We start from the raw sequence: 21,123 nt of genomic DNA on the forward strand, positions 1-21,123 counted from the left end.
CTTCCAAAGGGCTTTTATGCCTAAGTCTGTGGTTAGTGTATAAACAGATATTTACTGAAGTCCTGCTGGGTGCGGACACTGTGGCCAGCCCTGAGGCTGCAGTCAAGATGAAGCCAGTCTCTGTCCTCATGGAGACCTGTCTATTGATAAGAAAAGTGAAAGCTCACTGAGCATTGACCCTGTGCCCACTGCTTTTGATGCATCTCTCACTTAATCCTTCTATCAAATCTGTGAAATATATAAAAAACACCACCATCATCCCTATTTCACATTTAGGGAAACAAATGCTTAGAGAGGGTAAGTAACTTGGTCAAGGTCGCACAGCTTCGAACTCTCATCCCACCGGCGCAGGAATGAGAGGCAGCAGCCGGGGAAGCCAGGGTCTCCGGCAGTCCTTGTCTCTGGGCGGTGATCCAGAGAGAGAGAGAACACGACTGTCTCAGCACTGGGTCTTCTTCTGAGTCTTGAAGGAGCACTTCCAGAGCGTCTCAGTGTTAAACATCATGTTGTGAATGACTCCGTGAGCTCTGACCCAGTAACCTTGGGGATAAAGGAGGGGAGGTACGGATAAGCTCTTTGAATGGATGTTGCCGGGGTGTCAGGGTTCTTTGAGGGCACAGACTATGTGTCACAAAGAAAGAGCCCAGTGCCTTTTCTCATTGCTCAAGAGATTGAAGGGGTAGGAAGAAAAGATGTTAAGTTATAAACATGTTTCAGTTTTGGTACCAGTTGAACCAATTACATTTTGAAGAGGAAAGAGTCTTGCCTACAAAGTCAGCCCCCGGGTTTTCCTTCTGCTTATGGAATCCAGGCAATGGGCAAAGAGAAAAAGAAAACTAAGGAATCAGCCAGGTGCAGTGGCTCATGCTTGTGATCTTGGCACTTTGGGAAGCTGAGGCAGGTGGACTTCTTGAGTCCGGGAGTTCAAGACCAGCCTGGCCGACATAGTGAGACCCCGTTTCTACAAAAAATACAAAAAGTTGCTGAGCATGGTGGCGTGCACCCGTAGTCCCAGTTACTTGGGAGGCTGACGTGGGACAACTACTTCATCCCAGAGGTTGAGGCTGCAGTGAGCCATGATCATGCCACTATACTCCAGCCTGGGTGACAGAGTGAGGCCCTGTCTCAAAAGAAAACAAAAGGCCGGGCGCGGTGGCTCACGCCTGTAATCCCAGCACTTTGGGAGGCCGAGGCGGGTGGATCACGAGGTCAGGAGATCGAGACCATCCTGGCTAACACGGTGAAACCCCGTCTCTACTAAAAAATACAAAAAATTAGCCGGGCGAGGTGGCGGGCGCCTGTAGTCCCAGCTACTCGGGAGGCTGAGGCAGGAGAATGGCGTGAACCCCAGGGGGCAGAGCCTGCAGTGAGCCGAGATTGCGCCACTGCACTCCAGCCTGGGCGACAGCGAGACTCCGTCTCAAAAAAAAAAAAAAAAAAAAAGAAAACAAAAAAGAAAAACAAAACTAGGGAATCTAGACAGAGTAAGTTTATATATATAATAAAGAACTGAGATAGAACTGGGTTGACTGAGTAATTATTTGAATTGCTTTTGACTGAATTTTTCTTATTGGAGTCTACCTTTGTTTGTGTGTGTGTGTGGTTTTTTTTTTTTTTTTTGGTTTAGTTTTGTCTTTGTGTTTTTTTGAGACTGGGCCTTGCTCTGTTGCGTAGGCTGCTGGAGAGTGGTGGCGTGATCTCAGCTTACTGCAACCTCTGCTCCTGGGTTCCAGCAATTCTTCTGCCTCAGCCTCCCAAATAGCTGGGACTACTGAGCATGTACCATCAAGCCCAGCTAATTTTTGTGTTTTTAGTAGAGATGGGGTTTCACCATGTTGGCCAGGCCTGGTCTTGAACTCCTGGGCTCAAGTGATCTGTCTGCCTCGGCCTCCTAAAGTGCTGGGATTACAGGTGTGAGTCCCTGTGCCCAGCTAGAGTGCACCTTTCTTTGAATTCGCTGCAGTGCAAAGACTGGGACATGTGGAACTCCAGGTGTATATGGGTTACATAGAGATGCTAGGGGCTGATTAAGGAAGGAAAGATATGAGAAGCCTGCAGAACATGCTTTCCCAGACTGTATGGGCCCTGGGAAAGGAGAAGTGGACAGAAAGGGAACACTGGATGCCCTGGAAGAGAAGATTCATCCAAGTCATCAGGGAAGTTACTAATGCAAGGGAAGAAATGCAGAGACAGGGCCAAACACGCTTCTTCCAAGTCCTTTCTGTGCGCTCTGTCACCTCTATGCTTATTTTTCTTCTTTCCTCTAAGTAGTGTCATGCGTTTTCTTCCCATTCCTAGTCACTCGTAATCAACTAACTCCTCTCTTTACCATCTTTTCATCAGAACTTGAAACCTCCTCTCCTTCATATATTAGTGATCATGTTTCTCCATAATACAGCTAGAAACAAGAATTGAAACCTGGAAAACCTGCATTTGAGTACCAGATCTGCCTCTGCTAGCTATTTGAGAAGTTATTTTGTTCCATTCTTTTTGTTGTTGTTGAAACAGGGTGTCACTCTGTCGCCCAGGCTGGAGTGCAGTGGTTCAATCTTGGCTCACTGCAGCCTCAACCTCCTGGGCTCAAGCAATCCTTCCACATCAGCCTCCTGAGTAGCTGGGACTACAGGTGTGTGCCACCACACCTGGCTAATTTTTAATGTTTATTTATTTATTTTTGTTTACTTATTTGTTTTTGTAGAGATGGGGTATTGCTATGTTGCACAGGCTGGTCTCAAACTCGTGGGCTCAAGTGATCCTCCTGCCTTGGCGTCTCAGATAAAATGGGAAAAGTTCCCTTGTCCCCCTCGAAGGGAATGCGATGGGGGTGTGGTTCACTTCATCAGTGCCCCACTGCTCAAACCTCTAGGGGAGCACACAGACAGGCAGGGAGCCCCATGGCAGTGTCTAGGGGTGAATGTTTATAGTTGAAGCCCCAGTGGGCGTGTGTTACAGGGTGCTCTTTTAGTTTAACCATCCGTAGGTAGCTTGTGTTAGTAAGCTCAATTAGACCCCCGCCTTATTGCAAGGACAGAGGCTCTCTTTGTCCCGGAGTTCTTGCCTTGGTGTACCGGAAGTAGTGCAATCTCAGCTCACTGCAAGCTCCGCCTCTCAGGTTCACGCCATTCTCCTGTCTCAGCCTCCCGAGTGGCTGGGACTACAGGCACCCGCCACCACGCCCAGCTAATTTTTTTGTATTTTTAGTAGAGATGGGGTTTCACCGTGTTAGCCAGGATGGTCTCGATCTTCTGACCTCGTGATCCGCCCGCCTCGGCCTCCCAAAGTGCTGGGATTACAAGCATGAGAGTGCAAGGTTTTATTGAGTGGAAGTAGCTCTCAGCAGATGGGGGAGCCAGAAGGAAGATGGTTTTCCCCTGGAGTCGGGCGAGTGGCCCGACTCTTCTCTGACTGTCCCAGCCAAACTCTGGGTTGTTCTGCCAGTCAGTGGCCTGCGGTGTGCCGGTGCCCATTGGTGCGTTCCTCTTGACGTGCAGCGCACATGTGTTCCTCCGCTGATGTGCTCCTCTTGAAGTCCAGCCGCCTGTGTGTCTGCCTGCTACGGTCTCAGGGTTTTTATAGGCGCAGAATGGGGGTGTGGCAGCCAGGGTGGTCTTGGGAAATGCAACATTTGGGCAGGAAAACAAAAATGCCTGTCCTCACCTAGGTCCGTGGGCAAAGGCCCTGGGGTGGAGCACTAGCCAGCGACCACACCCTCCTCTACCCAGTACTTCCCTTCCTCACTTCCATATCATTTAAAGGGACCACATTCTTCCCTTCCAAGCACTTCCCTTCTGTATCACAAAGTGCTGGGATTATAGGCATGAGCCACTGGTCCCAGCCAATTCCGTTCTTTTAATGCAAACTAGAAAACAGGTGTTCAGAAAGGCCTGCCCTATCCATCTCAGGGAGTTGCTATGAAGATCAAATTAGATCATGTGCAACAGAAGTTCAGAAAAGATTCCAAAAGCACTGCACAATGGGAATGTATTTTGACACTCCACTGAGTGGACTTAAAACTATGGTTTTTTTCTTTCTTTTTTTTTGTTTGAGACAGAGTTTCACTCTTGTTGCCTAGGCTGGAGTGCAATGACGCCATCTTGGCTCACTGCAACCTCCACCTCCCCGGTTTAAGTGATTCTCTGCCTCAGCCTCCCGAGTAGCTGGGATTGCAGGCGCCCACCACCATGCCTGGATAATTTCTTTCTTTCTTTTTTTTTTTTGTCTTCTTAGTAGAGATGGGGGTTTCACAGTGTTGGCCAGGCTGGTCTCGAACTCCTGACCTTAGGTGATCCACCCACCTTGGCCTCCCAGAGTGCTCGGATTAAGGCTTGAGCCACCGCACCCAACCTGTGTTTCTTTTTTAAGCAAGAAAACAAATGCCTCTCCCCAGCACTCACTAAACCAATCCCTCTTTTTTTTTTTTCCATAGGATTCTTATCCTTCTTGCCCCAGTTCAAACAATCTATTTTCTTTTGGCCCTTCTGTCCATCTGTGAAAGGGTCAGGCTTTCTAGCTAACCCTTAATCAAATATTTTTGATGACCACAGTCAAGACAGTAGTTATTATTTTTTTTGAGATGAAGTTTCGCTCTCGTTGCCCAGGCTGGAGTGCAATGGCGCAATCTCGGCTCACTGCAACCTCTGCATCCAGGGTTCAAATGATTCTCTTGCCTCAGCCTCCCAAGTAGGTGGGATTACAGGCACGCAACACCACGCCCAGCTAATTTTTGTCTTTTTAGTAGAGATGGGGTTTCTCCATGTTGGCCAGGCTGATCTTGAACTCCTGACCTCAGGTGATCTACCCACCTCGGCCTCCCAAAGTGCTGGGATTATAGGGGTGAGCCACCCTGCCTGGCCAAGACAGTGCTTATTAATGCCTGAGATGCATTCAGGAGCACATGAGCTGGCTGTGACTGTTCTAACAAAGTTCCCCAAATGGGTGGCTCAGGACAACAGAAAGTCATTCTCTCCAGTTCCAGAAGCTTGATGTCTGAAACGGGCAGGGCCGTGCTCCCTCTGAAGGCTCTAGGGATGAATCCTTCCTTGCCTCTTCTGGCTTCTGGTGGTTGCTGGCAATCCTTGGCTTGTGGCCACATCATTCCATTCTCTTCCTTCATTCTCATGTGGCCTTCTCCCCTGCGTGTCTCTGTCTCTTCTTCTCTTCCCATGAGGATGCCATTATTACTCCATTTAAGGTCCATGCTATTCCAATATGACCTCTTTGTAATTAGATCTGCAGTGACCCTATTTTCTTTTCTTTTTTTTGAGATGGAGTCTTGCTCTGTTGCCCAGGCTGGAGTTCAGTGGCACAGTCTCAGCTCACTGCAACTCTGCCTTCTGGGTTCAAGTGATTCTTCAGCCTCAGCCTCCGAAGTAGCTGGGATTACAGGTGCACACCACCATGCCTAATTTTTGTGTTTTTAGTAGAGACAGGGTTTTGCCATGCTAGCCAGGCTGGTCTCGAACTCCCGACCTCGAGTGATCCTCCTGCCTCAGCCTCCCAAAGTGCTAAGATTACAGGCATAAGCCACCATGCCCCACCCCTATTTTCTAATAAGGTCACATTCTGGGATTTCTGGTGAATGTGAATTTTTGGAGGACAGTATTCAGTCTAGCAAAAGGCAGGGCATCCTCATTTTCTTCCCTACCTCAGAAATAAGGAAGTTAACTTCAATCCCTCGGAGAGAGAGAGAGAGGCTTCCTGAGCTTCCAACAATCAATTATCCAAATATTAGTCGCGGATGAGCACTAAGGGTTGTGCACAGCACAACCTGTGGCCAGCCCGTTCTCAGAGTCTGTCAAGTTTAAGGTGAACGCTAATCCTGAATGAGTTTTAAAATGTATTTGGCATTTCCTCGTCACTGTAAAATGTTCTCACATCATGATGGCTGGGGCTTCCCTCTCAGGTGTAATCTGTGAAGTCAGACGTGACACAGCCTGGGTGAGGTGGGCCAAGCTGGGAACTGGGTTAGGAGGGAAGCTGGGGAATGAGCTCCAAGGTCTCAGATCCCAAACTGGCTTTAGCCTGATTCACCCAGACGGACCTGGTAAAAAATACACATTCCAGGGCCCACCCCAGACCTAATGAATCAGAATTACCTGGGAAGGAGCCTGGGGAGCTCTGTTTTCAGAAGCAGCCCGGCAGAATCCTACCGTCAGACAGGGCTAGGAAACCGAGCTCAGTCTAGGGCAGTAGTTCCCAAACTCGTCTGTGCTTCAAAAAATACAGATGCTGATGGCCAGGTGTGGTGGCTCACGCCTGTGATCCCAGCAATTTGGGAGGCTGAGGCGGGAGGATCACTTGAGCCCAGGAGTTTGAGACCAGCCTGGAGAACATAGGGAGATACTGTCTCTATAAAAAAATAAAAAATTAGCCAGGCATAGTGGTGCCTGCCTCTGATCCCAGCTACCCTGGAGGTTGAAGTGGGAGGGTTGCTTGAGCCCAGGAGTTGGAGGCTGTAGTGAGCTATGATTGTGCCAGTGCCCTCCAGCCTGGGTAACAGAGCAAGGCTCTGTCTCAAAAACAAAAAACAAAAACCAGATGCTATGTCCCATTCCAGAGGTTGAGGTTTAATTGTTCTGGGGTGTGGTCTGGGTTTTGGAAGATTTAAAAAAAATCCCAGGTGACCCTAAAATGTAGATGAGTTTGGAAACCACACACCTAAGGCACAGTTGAATGGGGGAGCAGTGAGGTGGTGTGGGCTGGCCGGCCAGAACGCAGGGGTGGGGCAGTAGGAACCAGCACTGCAGAGGCCATGAGGGCTGGGAAGCATAGTGTCTGGGGCCCATAACAATGCTTGGACATGAATGCTTTAGACCTAAGACAATTGGCTCCTAAATGTGAAAACTGCAAGGCTGAAATGAATGCATGTTTAATGCTTTGCAACATTGTCAAGTGGTCAGCTGCAACTCCGTTCTGAGGGCGTGATGCCTGAGAGATGCCTGTCATGGGGGTTGATTTTAATGAATTTAACATGGTGTGGAGTGGGCCCTTCAAGAGTGAAAATGTCAGTTCTAAGTTGGTTGCGGGGGTTTGGGCAAAGGTCTTAAAACCCCATGGTGAGCAGATGGCCAATCCTAAACACCCCAATTTTAAAACAGGGCCTTTTTTCCAAGAGGCGTTTTGAAAATAGCTCCTATTTTGAGGGGAGGAACTCTGGCGGGCGAGAGCCAGGGTTAAGCCCAGCTGAGAGGGCAGGCAGGGCTGCCTGGTCCTCACTGAAACTTGCTACTCAGGGTGAGCTTCCTAAAGCAATGCACATTTGCTGGCCGACTGAGCCTGCCAGATGAGAACCTGCATTTCAACAAGGTCCTCAGTGCAGCAAAGTTTGAGATATACTGGGCTAGAACACCCAGGGGACACAAAGGTTCTCTGAAAACTAAGGAAAATAGGCAGGGTGTGGTGGCTCACACCTGTAATCCTTGTATTTTGGGATGCCACGGTGGGTGGATCACTTGAGGTCAGGAGCTCGAGACCAGCCTGGCCCAACATGGTGAAACACCATCTCTACAAAAGATACAAAAATTAGCCAGGTGCAGTGGCAGGTACCTGTAGTCCCAGCTACTCGGGGGGCTGAGACAGGACAATCACTTTAACCCGGGAGGCGGAAGTTGCAGTGGACCGAGATCGCACTGCTGCACTCCAGTCTGGTGACAGAGTGAGACTCCATCTAAAAATAAATAAATAAATAAATAAAAAATAAAAATAAATACTGGGCTAGAAGACCCAGGAGACCCAAAGATTCTATCAAAACTAAGGAAAATAATCCAGGTCACAAATATATTCTCTTTCTCCTCCTCCCCATCGCCCCCCTCCGCCAGTAATCTTTATAGACTCAAATAGAGTTGATGTTCTACAGTGAATTCCAGTCACTTTTATTTATATTTATTTATTTTAGAGATGGGGTCTCACTGTGTTGCTCAGGCTGGTCTCAAACTCCTGGGCTCAAGTGATCCACCCACCTCAGTCTCCCAAAGTGCTGGGATTACAGGCATCAGCAGCTGCACCTGGCTGTTACTTTTATTTTTGATGTTCAAATTATCCCTAACATGGCCAGTGGGAGCTAATGCCTGTGAGACCATAGATTCTTTTTATGCACTCAATACATTTTTGTGTTTACCTTACATCTTTATTATGGAAAAGATTCTGTTTTTTCCACTTGTTTCTATTTGATAATGAACCCCTCTGTGCCTATCACCAGCCTCAGCCACCATTATCTCATTACCAAGCTGGGTTATTTTGAAGCAAATATCTTCTAATATTTAGCCAGGGTTCAAATTTCCCCAACCATTCTAAATGAGTGTTTAGAGTAGTTGTTTCATTGGAAACAAGGTCAAAACAAGGACATTTTATGTTTTTAGATCAGTCTTGAAAGTAAGTGTAAAACCATATGTGGGGGAGGAGGTGGGACTAGCCTCTCAAGGCAGGGCCTGGATACCAGACCCAACTGAGGACTAGCTAAGACAGATTCCATAATGAATAATACCAGGAGGTGGGAACATTAAGGTCCATTGCGAAGGTTGGCTACCACAATTATTTGATCAACTAGTTATCAACCCTGACTGCAGCTGAGAGAGATTTGTTTTTGCTTTTTTTTTTTTTTTTTCAGAGACAGGGTCTTGCTATGTTGCCCAGGCTGGACTCAAACTCCTGGGCTCAAGTGATTCTTCTGCCTCAACCTCCCGAGTAGCTGAGACTACAGGTGTGTGCCACTGTGCCCAGCAAGATTTTAAAAAATACGTATGCCCGGACACCACTCTAAACCAACTAAATCAGAATCGGTTATAGTGAAGTCATTAATCATTTTGCTCCTGGGTCTTTATGACAGTTTTGCTCCTGGGAAACTCCTGGGTATGTGGTAGAGAGAGAGAAAGAGATGGGAAAATAAGATTTTAAGAAGTGTTGCTATGCATTTTGAAAATAATTTTTCTTTGGTGTTTGTCTTGAGGGACGGCGGTAAACATTTCAATTGCCTTTAAGTATGTTTGGATGCTGGAATGATGGTTTTTTGAGTGCAGCATCGAACTGGGATCGGGCCACATGGCAGCCAGCGTGAGGCTTTATGCCACATTTATAAAACATGAATGTCATGAGCCCACTCTCAGGGACCTTACAATTTGGAGGGTTAGGTCAGATCCACAAATCTCTTGTATCTCATGGTAAAGGAAACCTGGCGTGTAGCAGGAGGTGGTGTGATAACCATAACATATTGCATGATCAATATTTGTATTCTTCTTAGCAATATCAAACTTTTTGACCCCCTCCATTGTGTCATCAATTTGCTTAACACAGTTACTGCCTCAGCGTTGGTTTTTAGGCCTGGCATAAGCTGTTTGAAACCCAGGCACGTATCCCGCCCGTTGTCTTTGGCCTAGTTAACACCTCCCCTCCCTGCGTGGTGGTTTGGAGAACCTGCTTGTTCCTCATCCCACTGATCCCAAACCCATGACGCCCCACAGCTGCTGACCGTGATTAAACCTAATGGAGATTCAATGCCTTTCTTTTGATTCTCAGGAACCGATGTTCATTCATTTCTTAAATACTTGCAGAGTCGGCCAGGCATGGTGGCTCACGCCTGTAATCCCAGCACTTGGGGAGGCCGAGGTGGGTGAATCATGAGGTCAGGAGTTCGAGACCAGCCTGGCCAATATGGTGAAACCCCATCTCTACTAAAAATACAAAAATTAACTGGTTTGGCGGTGTGTGCCTGTAATCCCAGCTACTCAGGAGGCTGAGGCAGGGGAGTCGCTTGAACCTGGGTGGTGGAAGTTGCAGTGAGCCAAGATTATGCCATTGCCCTCCAGCCTGGGCAGCAGAGTGAGACTCTGTCTCAAAAACAAACAAAAAACCCAAAAACTTGCAGAGTGAATTTAGGAAACCATGAAGTCCAGAGTTTGATGCAATCCCTTCCTTTTTCTCTTTCTCAAATATTTTGAGCCAGGTACTATCCTCAATTGTCTTGTGATATTTACAATCTAGAAGGCAGGAGAGAGAACTAAGAACAGAGAGCGTGTTCTGAGATGTCTGCTGTGATTGCAGGTACCTTCCCTCAATTTCCCGACTCACTGGCCATGCTGGAAAGCAGGTCTTGGCGCCATATTTGTGCCATGGTTCTCCCCCTCCCTGTACTCAATTGGTTGGCCAGAAGCCCAATTCTCTCTCTCTCTCTCCCCCTCTCTCTTTCCCTCTCTCCCTCCCTCCCTGTCTCTCTCTTTCTTTCTCTCTCTCCCTCTCCTTCTACCAAGACATCCAGTTACTAACAGATCAGCTGGTGGTGGGCTCTGCTGGCTGCCATGATGGGCCACCAGCAAAAAGGGAAAATTGGTTGTGAGTGAGAGAAGCAGAGATAAGAAAGTCCACAGGGCTGTTAAGAAAGACCAGGGGCAGCTGGGCACGGTGGCTCACGCCTGTAATCCCAGCACTTTGGGAGGCCAAGATGGGCAGATCACGAAGTCAGGAGATCGAGACCATCCTGGCTCACACAGTGAAACCCCCATGTCTACTAAAAATACAAAAAATTAGCCAGGCGTGGTGGTGGGTGCCTATAGTCCCAGCTACTTGGGAGGCTGAGGTGGGAGGATGGCATGAACCCTGGGAGGTGGAGCTTGCAGTGAGCCGAGATCATTGCACCACTGCACTCCAGCCTGGGTGAAAGAGCGAGACTGTGTCTCAAAAAAAAAAAAATAAAATAAAAAAATAAAAAAATAAATAAATAAGACCATGGGCTTCTGAGAGTCAGAAAGAGGAATTTTGGTTTCTGTAACTGCAGTTTCCATTCTCTCATGGCCTCTCATTTGTTTCCCATGCCCATGAGTTTGCCTGTTAGAGATAAGGTGTGCTCCTTTCCCTCCAGCTCATGCAAATGGGTTTCTGTTTCTTACAATCATTGTTCCCAGGTACAGATGGTGACTGATGCTCTACTAAATGCTGAAAAAAAGCAGAGCGGAAGCACAGAAAAGAGGGCTTCTCTAAGGAGGTGACATTACAGCCCAGTTGGAAGGCAGGAGTAAATGTGCACCATGATTTTTTAGGGTTAAAACCAAGTGTCTCACTGCTTGGGCACATGTAGATAGAGGTGATTTAACAGTAAACTATCCCCGTTGTACCCATTGTCAGTTACCTCACCACAGGGATTATGTAGCCCTGAGTTTGCTTAGTGCTTATTTATTTTAGGTTGTTGTTTATCCAAACCTCTTAAATGATATGCACTTGGAACAAGTGACAGCATTGTTCATTGATGATGTGGACAAACCACTGTTTATTTTATTACTCAAAACTGGGTAAATTATAAAGAAAAAGAGGTTTAATGGGCTCATAGTTCCATGTGGCTGAAGAAGCCTCAAAATCATGGTGGAAGGCAAAAGGCACGTCTTACATGGTGGCAGACAAGGGTAATGAGAGCTATTTTGGTCATTGTTCGCTGGCCATAGAATTTGCTTCTATATTTTGAACTAACACGAGAGCCAGGCACACAAGATGGTTACAGGTCTGTCTTTTGTTTTTGATGATGATGATGATGATGATGATGATGATGAAATGGCTGACATGGTTCATGACTTGCTTTTTCTCATCATCTCAGACCTAGATTTTTGGCTGGACTATTGGCTTGGGATAGATGAAAATCATTCCTTGTATCCCCTGATCTTAAAGTCAAGACTGAAGCAGCCTCCAGATGCATGCCTTCATGGGGCTTCAGATACCATGAGGAATGGGCATCCCTGCAATATTGTCATGGCTGTCAAAATTGTTATTGGAGCTGGGCAAGTGGGCGCTCTCCTGCCATTCCATCCTGCTTAGATTTCCCATTCAACACCAATCTTATTTCCTTTGTTTTTTTTGACAGAGTCTCGCTCTGTCTCCTAGGCTGGAGTGCAGTGGTGGGATCTCGGCTCACTACAGTCTCCACCTCCAGGGTTTAAGTGATTCTTGTGCCTCAGCCTCCCAAGTAGCTGGGATTGCACGTGCACACCATCAAGCCTGGCTATTTTTTTTTTTTTTTGTATTTTTAGTAGAGACAGGGTTTCACCATGTTGGCCAGGCTGGTCTTGAACTCCTGACCTCAATTGATCCACCTACCTCGGCCTCCCAAAGTGCTGGGATTACAGGTGTGAGTCACCACATCTGGCCCCATTTCCTCTTATACCATAAGTCATTGCCTGCAGATGTGTTTTCTCCATTAGTTTGCAAAAGCTTCCTGAGAGTAGGTCTGTGCCTCATTTATTCTGGAATCTCCCTGGCATGAAGCACAGGGTTTATCCTCAGTAGGCATTCAACAAATGTTTAATTTCACTCAACAGCTCCTCTTACCACTGCCCCCACCTTATCTGCAGGTGGCTAAGTACAATCAGAACAAGTAGGTATCATAAGATTTAGTCCAGAGTCAATTTGGGAAGAAATTACTTTAGTGATATGAAAAGAAACCATGCTATTTAGTCAGAATACTTCTGAGAGTATCCCCTGTCCAAGCATTTGCTGAATTTCTATCTACTAATTTTCAGGTGGAACAGTATGGTTGCAGAGAGTCCATTTGGACACAGATACACTTTCATGCATTCATGTCTTTAACAATAATTTGTGGCCCTACTGTGTTTGTTCACTAACTCCTTCGAACCTGCCATATAAGTTATATCTTTACTTTCCTTGTAATTTGGGAGGTCCAATTCTTCATTAAGCTCACATGCCTGAAACTAATGAAGAAAATAGCTCGTTAACCAGCTAGTATAAAAGTAGCCACCAAATCAACTCAATCACCTGCCTTAAATCAGCCCAGTACCCCATCTTGAGCGGAGAAGCCCATTCTGAATCACAGTCAAGACATTGATGGAAAAACAGCTCCCTCTGGGGATCAAAACCACGCTAGCCCCAAATCCTCCTCCCCAGAGTTTTCCTCATTGCTCACCCACTGAACCCAAAACAAACCAGAAGTGCTTAAAATGAGGACGGGTAGCTCCGTGTACCAATCAGAATTTAAAACTGTATCAATTCCTGCTATAGAAAGAGGCTTCTCCCCAGGACCAGGATTCCACGAAGGCAGCCCTTTTCTAGATGGAGAAAATAGAACCTGAAGGCAGCCGTTTCCCTAAACTGCTCTCGCTCATGTGTAAGTACAAATGAAAAATGCTGACGCTGCTTCTGTTGGCATTGCTTTTTAATTACGGCCATCAATAAATCATTTTATCCTTGAACAAGACTTGAGAATGGCCCGAAGGCAGAGGCACGATTCCTTAGGAATTAGGCCAACAGAAAATGGGCTATCTCTCTTCCCACCCCTTCTCTTACTCTGCTGTCAGAAACGGAAAAGTTCTCTGTGAGTAGCTGGGAGGAGACGGCCCCACTTGAGTTCCATCTGGGGGTTCTGTTGACACAGTTTTACCCCAGCCTGCCTTGATGGCCACTGCCACACAAGCTGCATCTGTTCTTTCTTCTGCGCCTTTTGTTAGTTCGTTTTTTTTTCCTCTTTCTAGTGTAGTCAGCTGAATGGTGGCTTCGCACAAGATATATCCAGATCCTTGTGCCTAGACTCTGTGGAGGTGGCATTATTTGGAAAAAGGGTCTTTGCAGATGTAATTAAGTTAAGGACCTTGAGATGAGATTCTCCTGGGGTATGTTAGGTAGGCTGTACATCTAAAGACAAGTGTCCTTATAAAAGGACACTTTTGTCTGGGTGTAGTGGCTCATGCCTGTAATCCCAGTACTTTGGGAGGCCGAGGAGGGTGGATCACCTGAGGTCAGGAGTTCGAGACCGGCCTGACCAACATGGAGAAACCCCAACTCTACTAAAAACACAAAATTAGCTGGGCATGGTGGCACATGCCTTCAATCCCAGCTACTCTGGAGGCTGAGGCAGGAGAGTTGCTTGAACCTAGGAGGAGGAGGTTGCAGTGAGCTGAGATCATGCTATTGCACTCCAGCCTGGGCAACAAGAGCGAAACTCCATCTCAAAAAAAAAAAAAAAAAAAAAAAAAGGACACTCTTCCTCTAGAGGAGGAAACCCACCCAGACAGAAGAGGAGGAGGCAAGGTGATCACAGAGGCAGAGATTGTATCATGCAGCCACAAGTCAAGGAATTCTAGTAGCTTCTACAAGCTGGAAGAGGCAAGGAATGGATTCTTCCCTAGAACCTCTTAAGGAGCATGGTCCTGCTGACACTTGATTGATTTTGTACTTCTGGCCTCCAGGCTTTTTTTTTTCTTTTTTTTTTTTTTTTTAAGATAGAGCCTTTCTCTGTTGCCCAGTGTGGAGTGCAGTGGCACGATTTCGGTTCACTGCAAACTCCACCTCCCGGGCTCAAGCCATTCTCTGCCTCAGCCTCCCAAGTAGCTGGGCTACAGGTGCCTGTCACCATGCATGACTGATTTTTGTATTTTTACTAAAGACAAGGTTTTGCCATATTGGCCAGACTGGTCTCGAATTCCTGGCCTCAAGTGATCCACCCACCTCAGCCTCCCAAAGTGCTGAGATTATTTAGGTGTGAGCCACGGCACCCGGCCCAGACATTGTTTGAAGCCACCCATTTCATGGTTCTTGGCTGCAGTGGTTGTGGAATATGAATGCACTCATGCTGTTGGTTGGACTTTGCTGACCTTGTGTCTGTTATTCCCTGGCAGTTCTCCAGGGCCTGGAGCTGGTATGAGAAACGTCCCTTCTTTCCCAAATGGTCCCCAGCTTCCCCTTTCACTGAAGTCCCTGCAGTCAGGAGCAGTCAGGACCTTGCACCCAGTTGCTGTGGGTGCTGGGCCGACCCAATCCTTTCTCTTGTGTGATCCATGGACTCGCAGCATTGCGTCACCTGTGAGCTTTTGGAATTGAAGACTTCCAGGGCTCACCCGGGAGGACCTGCTGGGCCAGAATCTGCATTTTAACAAGATGCCCAGGTGATTTGCATACACGTTCAGATCTGAGAAGCGCTGGTAGGAGAGGCTTTAAGGTGGTAATTAGATCTTTTCTCCACCTGCAAGAATCTTAGTTTCATTCTATTAACTGTGGCAATGGCATGGGGGTTATGAAACAAAACAAAATCCTTACATCAGGAATGCACCCTGGCGTGTTATGGATGTGGGTGAAATGAAATGTCTGGAATTTGCTTTAAAATATTGTAAAATAGCCAGAAGGAAAAGAAAAGCGGGAACTGGAATGAGATTGGCGAAATGTTGACAAGTTTTCGCAGTGGGATGATGGGTGCGTGGGGGTTCATGGTGCAATTCTCTCCCCGCTTTTTGTGCATATGGGAAATTTTCATAATGAAAAGTTAGAGGTCGGGCACGGTGGCTCATGCCTGTAATCTCAGCATTTTGGGAGGCTGAGGTGGGTAGATTGCTTGAACCTAGGAGTTCAAGACCATCCTGGACAACATGGCGAAACCCCATCTCTACTAAAAATGCAAAAATTAGCCAGGCATGGTGACAACATGCCTGTAGTCATGTTGAGGCATGAGGTTGAGGCATGAGAATCGCTTGAACCCAGGAGGCGGAGGTTGCAGTGAGCCGAGATCGCACCATTACACTCCAGCCTGGGTGACAGAGTGAGACTTGGTCTCAAAAAAATTTTTAATTTTCTTTTTTTTTTTTTTTGAGATGGAGTCTTGCTCTTTTGCCCAGGCTGGAGTGCAGTGGCGTGATCTTGGCTCAGTGCAAGCTCCACCTCCCGAGTTCACTCCATTCTTCTGCCTCAGCCTCCAGAGTAGCTGGGACTATAGGCACCCACCACCATGTCCGGCTAATTGTTTGTATTTTTAGTACAGATGGGGTTTCACCGTGTTAGCCAGAATGGTCTCAATCTCCTGATCTCGTGATGTGCCCACCTTACCCTCCCAAAGTGCTGGGATTACAGGCATGAGCCACCGTTCCCGGCCTTAATTTTCTTTAATTTGTTTCTTTTTTGAGACAGGATCTCACTCTGCAGCCCAGGCTGGAGTGCAGTGGTGCGATCCCAGCTCACTGCAGCCTCTACCTCCTGGGCTCAAGTGATCCTCCCACCTGAGCCTCCTGAGTAGCTGAGACCACAGGCATGTATCACCACACCTGGCTAATTTTTTCACTTTTTGGAGAGGCAAGGTCTCGCTGTGTTGCCCAGGCTGGTCTTGAACTCCTGAGCTCAAGCAATCTTCCCGCCTCAGCCTGGGAGTAATCCCAAAGTGCTGGGATTACAGGTGTGAGTCACTCTACCCAGCCTGAACGGTTTTTCGTGACTCCACTTTTTCTCCCCTCTTGGAAATGAGTAGTCTTTGAGGGAATGTCTTTTTCGTCTCAATCTCTGGTTTCTTTGCTCAGTGCGCTTGTGTTTGGGGCTTTGTTGATCTCCAGGCCTTTTTCAGCAGTGTCGTCCCTGGAGAGCAGGATGGGAGCTGATGGCTTCTCAGCATCTTTTAACTTAGTTTAAAGATGACTGTCAACAACATCTAGTCGGCATCTGTTGCTCTCGGCAGCTGCGACTTCATTTCCTTTCTCTTTCTCCATCTCTCTAACCTGTTTATGACTCTGTCTTTGTCATGGGTACAGCATCACCTGTGTGGCCCTTAGGCTCTCTTACTTACATGTGATCTGCATATTATGTCTTTACTTCAGGGCTTCTCAACCAGGGGGTGCTTTTGCCCCCCAGAGAACATGTGGCCATGTCTGGAGACAGTTTTGGTTGTTGCGGCTGGAGGAGGTGGTGCTCCTGGCATCTAGTGGGTAGAGGTCAGAGATGCTGCTGAACATCCTACAATGCCCCGACAACTCCCACTAAGACAGAATAATGATCCAGCCCCAAATGTCAATCGTGCTGAAAGTGAGAGACCCTGATTCCATCTTAGAGATCATCCAAACACATTTGGCCAAATTGTTTTTGCTGCTGTCCCATGAAGAAAAGGCAGACCCTTGACTGATGGCAACATCGATGGGAATTTTGTTTACCCCTTCTTGGTGGACTTTGGGATACGATGACTTACCATTTGTGCAAGTTGTGCATTGCACACCTCCAGGAGGTGCCACCCACATATTTATGAAAATGCCACCCCAGGAATTGCACAGTATATAGTCTACATGGCTATAAGCAGTTGCTCTGGTTTTGGGGTTGCCCTGGGGTGCTCTGGAACTGGGAGGAACTTTATTTCTGGCCATTAGAGGCCCTGAGCAGGACATTGAGTATCCTTTCAAGAAAAGAGAAATGTTGAACAGATAGGACCTCATTTTTATAACTCTTGACCATCATCTAGTTACGGAGCATCCACTTTTCACCCCTGGGCCATATCCATTTGAAAGATGTAAAATCATCAAATTATAATATCATGGCTTACACTTTTGATAGCTTCTGCTCAGAACATGGCGGTGAGAGCTTCTCATTTTCAATTGATTCATTGGGGGAGAAAATATACACGGCTGCCCTAAGACTTTCTATTACACACCATTTGCTTGACGGGATTTCTTTAGTTTCTGTAGCATAACTTATTCTAACTGGTCCTCAATCACTTTGCAATAAAAACTGAGATTGTGAAAATGTTCATTGTCATTACCAGTGACAGAGCATTAAGTACCGAGTTCTAGAAAGGGAAGGAACCGAGAGATTTAAACTAGCAGAATGAGCCGCTCACCCTCAGAATTGCTTTTAATCTTGGTGAGAACTGAGGGGAATTTTGACAGGGCTCAGGGGGACTGCGGAGAGTGGGGCTGGGAGGTGGCTGTTTGCATGTGTGGTCAGCAGATCCAGTGGGGGTCCATGTACTGTGGGCAGGCCCAAGATGGAGTTGGGATTGCCCTGGACTGAGTACTGGGTCATCAGATCGCAAACTGCCGTTCTCAAGACATCGAGGCCCAGGCTGGTGCAGGAGATACATTGCAGTGTGTCAGCCTTTCTTCCATCGCTCTCCTCCAATGACAGTCCCCAATTTTCCACCGAGGAGTCACTAGTTCCCCACGGCATCTGTGTGACTGGCCACTTCCCAACCTGACCTGGGGCTGGGGCATGTGGTCCCAGCCTGGATGTCAATATCCTTCCACCACCCTGGCCACAGTGATTGGGTCTGAGAAGCAGATTAGCCAAAGGAGAGACAATCTTGGGAATTTCATGTTCATGCTGAAGAAAGTAAAATGGAAAGTGGGGGGAGAGTGAGGGGTTATTCTGATGATATAGTTTGAGGACCTGGATGTAGCCACACCTGTAGCTGTCAACTCTGTGCCATAGTACTGCTTTTTTTTTTTCCTTCAAATTTAAATACTTTCTAGAGGCAAGGTCTTGCTATGTTGCTTAGGCTGGTTTTGAAAAGTCCCTTTTGGGGGGATGCTTTCACTGCTTCACCTTTCTATGACAGCTCAGGGAATCAGAAGACAAGGGAGATGACTTTTTTTTTTTTTTTTTTGAGACAGGGCTTGCTCTGTTGCCCAGGCTGGAGTGCAGTGGTGCAATCACAGCTCGCCACAGCCTTGATCTTCTGGACTCAAGCGACCCTCCTGCTTCAGCCTCCTGAGTAGCTGGGACTATAGGCGGGTACCACCATGCCCAGCTAATTAAATTTTTTTTTAGAAACGAGATCTCACTATGTCACCCAGGCTGGCCTCAAACTCTTGGGCTCAAGTGATCGCCCTGCCTTAGCTTCCCAGACTTACAGGTGTGAGCCCCCACACCCAGTCAACGCTGTGTTCTTATGCACCTGGTGTCCCCCCAGGCCCTGAGCAATGATCCTCCTGCCTCGACCTCCCAAAGTGCTGGGATAACAGATGTGAAGTACAATGTATGGCCCACATAGTATTCTTATGGGTTAAATTGAGTCCTCCTCAAAAGATGTTGAAATCCTAAATTCTAGTAGCTCAGAATGTGACCTTATTTAGAAATAGAGTTATTGCAGGCTGGGCATGGTGGCTCACACCTATAATCCCAGCACTTTGGGAGGCCAAGGCAGGTGGATCACCTGAGGTCAGGAGTTTGAGCAACCAGCCTGACCAACATGGAGAAACACCATCTCTACTAAAAATACAAAATTAGCTGGGTGTGGTGGTGCATACTTGTAATTCCAGCTACTCGGGAGGCTGAGGCAGGAGAATCCCTTGAACCCAGGAGGTGGACATTGCATTGAGCCGAGATCGCACCATTGCACTCCATCCTGGGCAACAAGAGTGAAACTCTGTCTCAAAAAGAAAGAAAGAAAGAAAGAAACAGGGTTATTGCAGATGCTATTGATTAGGATGAAGTCATCCTGGAGTAGGCAGGGCCCTAAGTCAATGACTGGTGTCCTTATAAAAGAGGAGAGGACATGCCGAGTCACAGAGACACAGGGAAGAAGGCCATGGATCGGACGGAAGATTGGACTGATGTGTCTGCAAACCAAGGAACACTGAAGACTGCCAGGAGACCACAGGAAGCTAGGACGAGGCAAGGCAGGACTCCCCGAGAAGTGCAGGAGGTAGTGCGGCCCTGCTGGCACCTCCATTTCAGATTGCTGGCCACCAGAGCCACAAGACAATCAATTTCTCTTGTTTCAAGTCACCGAGCTTGTGGTACTTGGTTGTGGCAGCCTTAGGGAATGAATATACGTACTTTTTTTTTTCTTTTTTTGAGACGGAGTCTCGCTCTGTTGCCCAGGCTGGAGTGCAGTGGCATGATCTCAGCTCACTGCAAGCTCCACCTCCCGGGTTCATGCCATTCTCCTGCCTCAGCCTCCCGGGTAGGTGGGACTACAGGCGCCTGCCACCACGCCCAGCTAATTTTTTGTATTTTTGATAGAGATGGGGTTTCACTGTGTTAGCCAGGATGGTCTCGATCTCCTGACCTCGTGATCCACCTGCCTCAGCCTCCCAAAGTGCTGGGATTACAGGCGTGAGCCACTGTGCCCGGCCGAATATAAGTACTTTTAAATTAACTCTCCTCTTCTCTCCATCTTCTTCTAAATCATCATTTTTGCCTAAGCAACAGCTAGGGTCTAATACGGATGTGATGACTCACTTCAAAGTAGGGGAAGCCAGTCCCCATGTGCGCCCAAAGCTCCTGCTGCCTTGGCCCTGGGCTCAGAGACTGGACCATCATTCTAGGGGCTTGCTGGAGATCTGAGCCAGGGCACCATTCTCTGTTGCCTTTAAACAAAGGCTGGTGCTCGCCCAGGCATGTGAGCTCTACCGAGGATCTATTTGGAAGGCAGAATTCTGAGATGACCCCTTAGGTTCTTGCCCTGGATAAATGCCAGGTGTAATATTCTCTCCCCTGGAGTGTGGGCAGGACCCGTGGCTTGCTTCTAATCTATACCTAGGGAAAAGTTGAAGGGATTTTGCAGATGTAACTAAGCCCCTAATCCGTTCGCTTTGAGTTAATCAAAAGGGAGATTATTCAGGGTGGGCCTGACATCTTCAGGTGAGATCTTCAATGAGGGTCTGGAGGAGACAGACTCCTTCCTCCTGGTTTTTGCTTTTTGTTTGTTTGTTTTTGAGATGGAGTCTCACTCTGTTGCCCAGGCTGGAGTGCAGTGGCACGATCTCAGCTTACTTCAACTTCTGCCTCCTGGGTTTAAGTGTTTTTCCTGCCTCCGCCTCCCAAGTAGCTGGGATTACAGGCATGCGCCATCGTGCCTAGCTAAGTTTTGTATTTTTAGTAGAGACGGGGTTTCACCATATTGGCCAGGTTGGTCTCAAAATCCTGACCTCAGGTGATCCACCTGTCTCGGCCTCCGAAAGGGCTGGGATTAGAGGCATGAGCCACCACGCCTAGCTGGTTTTGAAGAAGCCATATGAGTTCCACAGTTGCATGGAAATAAATTCTGCCAACAACCATGTGAGGTTGGGAGAAGACCCCAAGCCTCATATGAGACACTAATTCCAGCCGACTCCTTGATCACAACCTTGTAAGAACCTGAGCAGAGGACGCAGCTAAAGCTGCACCCCCAGACTCCTGACCCACAGGAAAGGAGAGGTAATAGATGGGTGTTTTAAGCTGCTAAATTTGTGTTGATTTGTTATGCAGCTTAGAAAATGAATACATCATTCCATTTTTTAAAATCAAAAGCTAATCACACCATTCTTTTTTTTTTTTTTGAGACAGTCTCACTCTATTGCCCAGGCTGGAGTGCAATGGCACAATCTCAGCTCCCTGTAACCTTTGCCTCCCGGGTTCAAATGATTCCCTTGCCTCAGCCCCCTAAGTAGCTGGGACTACAGGCATGCACCC

General features: G+C 47.4%; 1 pseudogene, besides 4 other annotated features; it reads right to left on the reverse strand.

Annotated features, from left to right (window-relative positions):
• Positions 1-21,123, reverse strand: part of ENPP7P14 (ectonucleotide pyrophosphatase/phosphodiesterase 7 pseudogene 14) — a 37,893-nt pseudogene that overhangs the window by 9,491 nt on the left and 7,279 nt on the right.
• Positions 2,973-3,474: an enhancer, noted in NCBI's record as "H3K4me1 hESC enhancer chr16:5173257-5173758 (GRCh37/hg19 assembly coordinates)". NCBI's record gives its function as "activates a minimal SCP1, AML or CMV promoter by ChIP-STARR-seq in primed H9 embryonic stem cells {active_cell/tissue: H9 hESC(primed)}" and the evidence as "EXISTENCE:reporter gene assay evidence [ECO:0000049][PMID:30033119]".
• Positions 3,475-3,974: an enhancer, noted in NCBI's record as "H3K4me1 hESC enhancer chr16:5173759-5174258 (GRCh37/hg19 assembly coordinates)". NCBI's record gives its function as "activates a minimal SCP1, AML or CMV promoter by ChIP-STARR-seq in primed H9 embryonic stem cells {active_cell/tissue: H9 hESC(primed)}" and the evidence as "EXISTENCE:reporter gene assay evidence [ECO:0000049][PMID:30033119]".
• Positions 14,398-15,172: an enhancer, noted in NCBI's record as "OCT4-NANOG-H3K27ac-H3K4me1 hESC enhancer chr16:5184682-5185456 (GRCh37/hg19 assembly coordinates)". NCBI's record gives its function as "activates a minimal SCP1, AML or CMV promoter by ChIP-STARR-seq in naive and primed H9 embryonic stem cells {active_cell/tissue: H9 hESC(naive and primed)}" and the evidence as "EXISTENCE:reporter gene assay evidence [ECO:0000049][PMID:30033119]".
• Positions 15,173-15,948: an enhancer, noted in NCBI's record as "OCT4-NANOG-H3K27ac-H3K4me1 hESC enhancer chr16:5185457-5186232 (GRCh37/hg19 assembly coordinates)". NCBI's record gives its function as "activates a minimal SCP1, AML or CMV promoter by ChIP-STARR-seq in naive H9 embryonic stem cells {active_cell/tissue: H9 hESC(naive)}" and the evidence as "EXISTENCE:reporter gene assay evidence [ECO:0000049][PMID:30033119]".

This window comes from Homo sapiens, chromosome 16 (assembly GCF_000001405.40).
Source record: "Homo sapiens chromosome 16, GRCh38.p14 Primary Assembly".
NCBI lineage: Eukaryota > Metazoa > Chordata > Mammalia > Primates > Hominidae > Homo > Homo sapiens.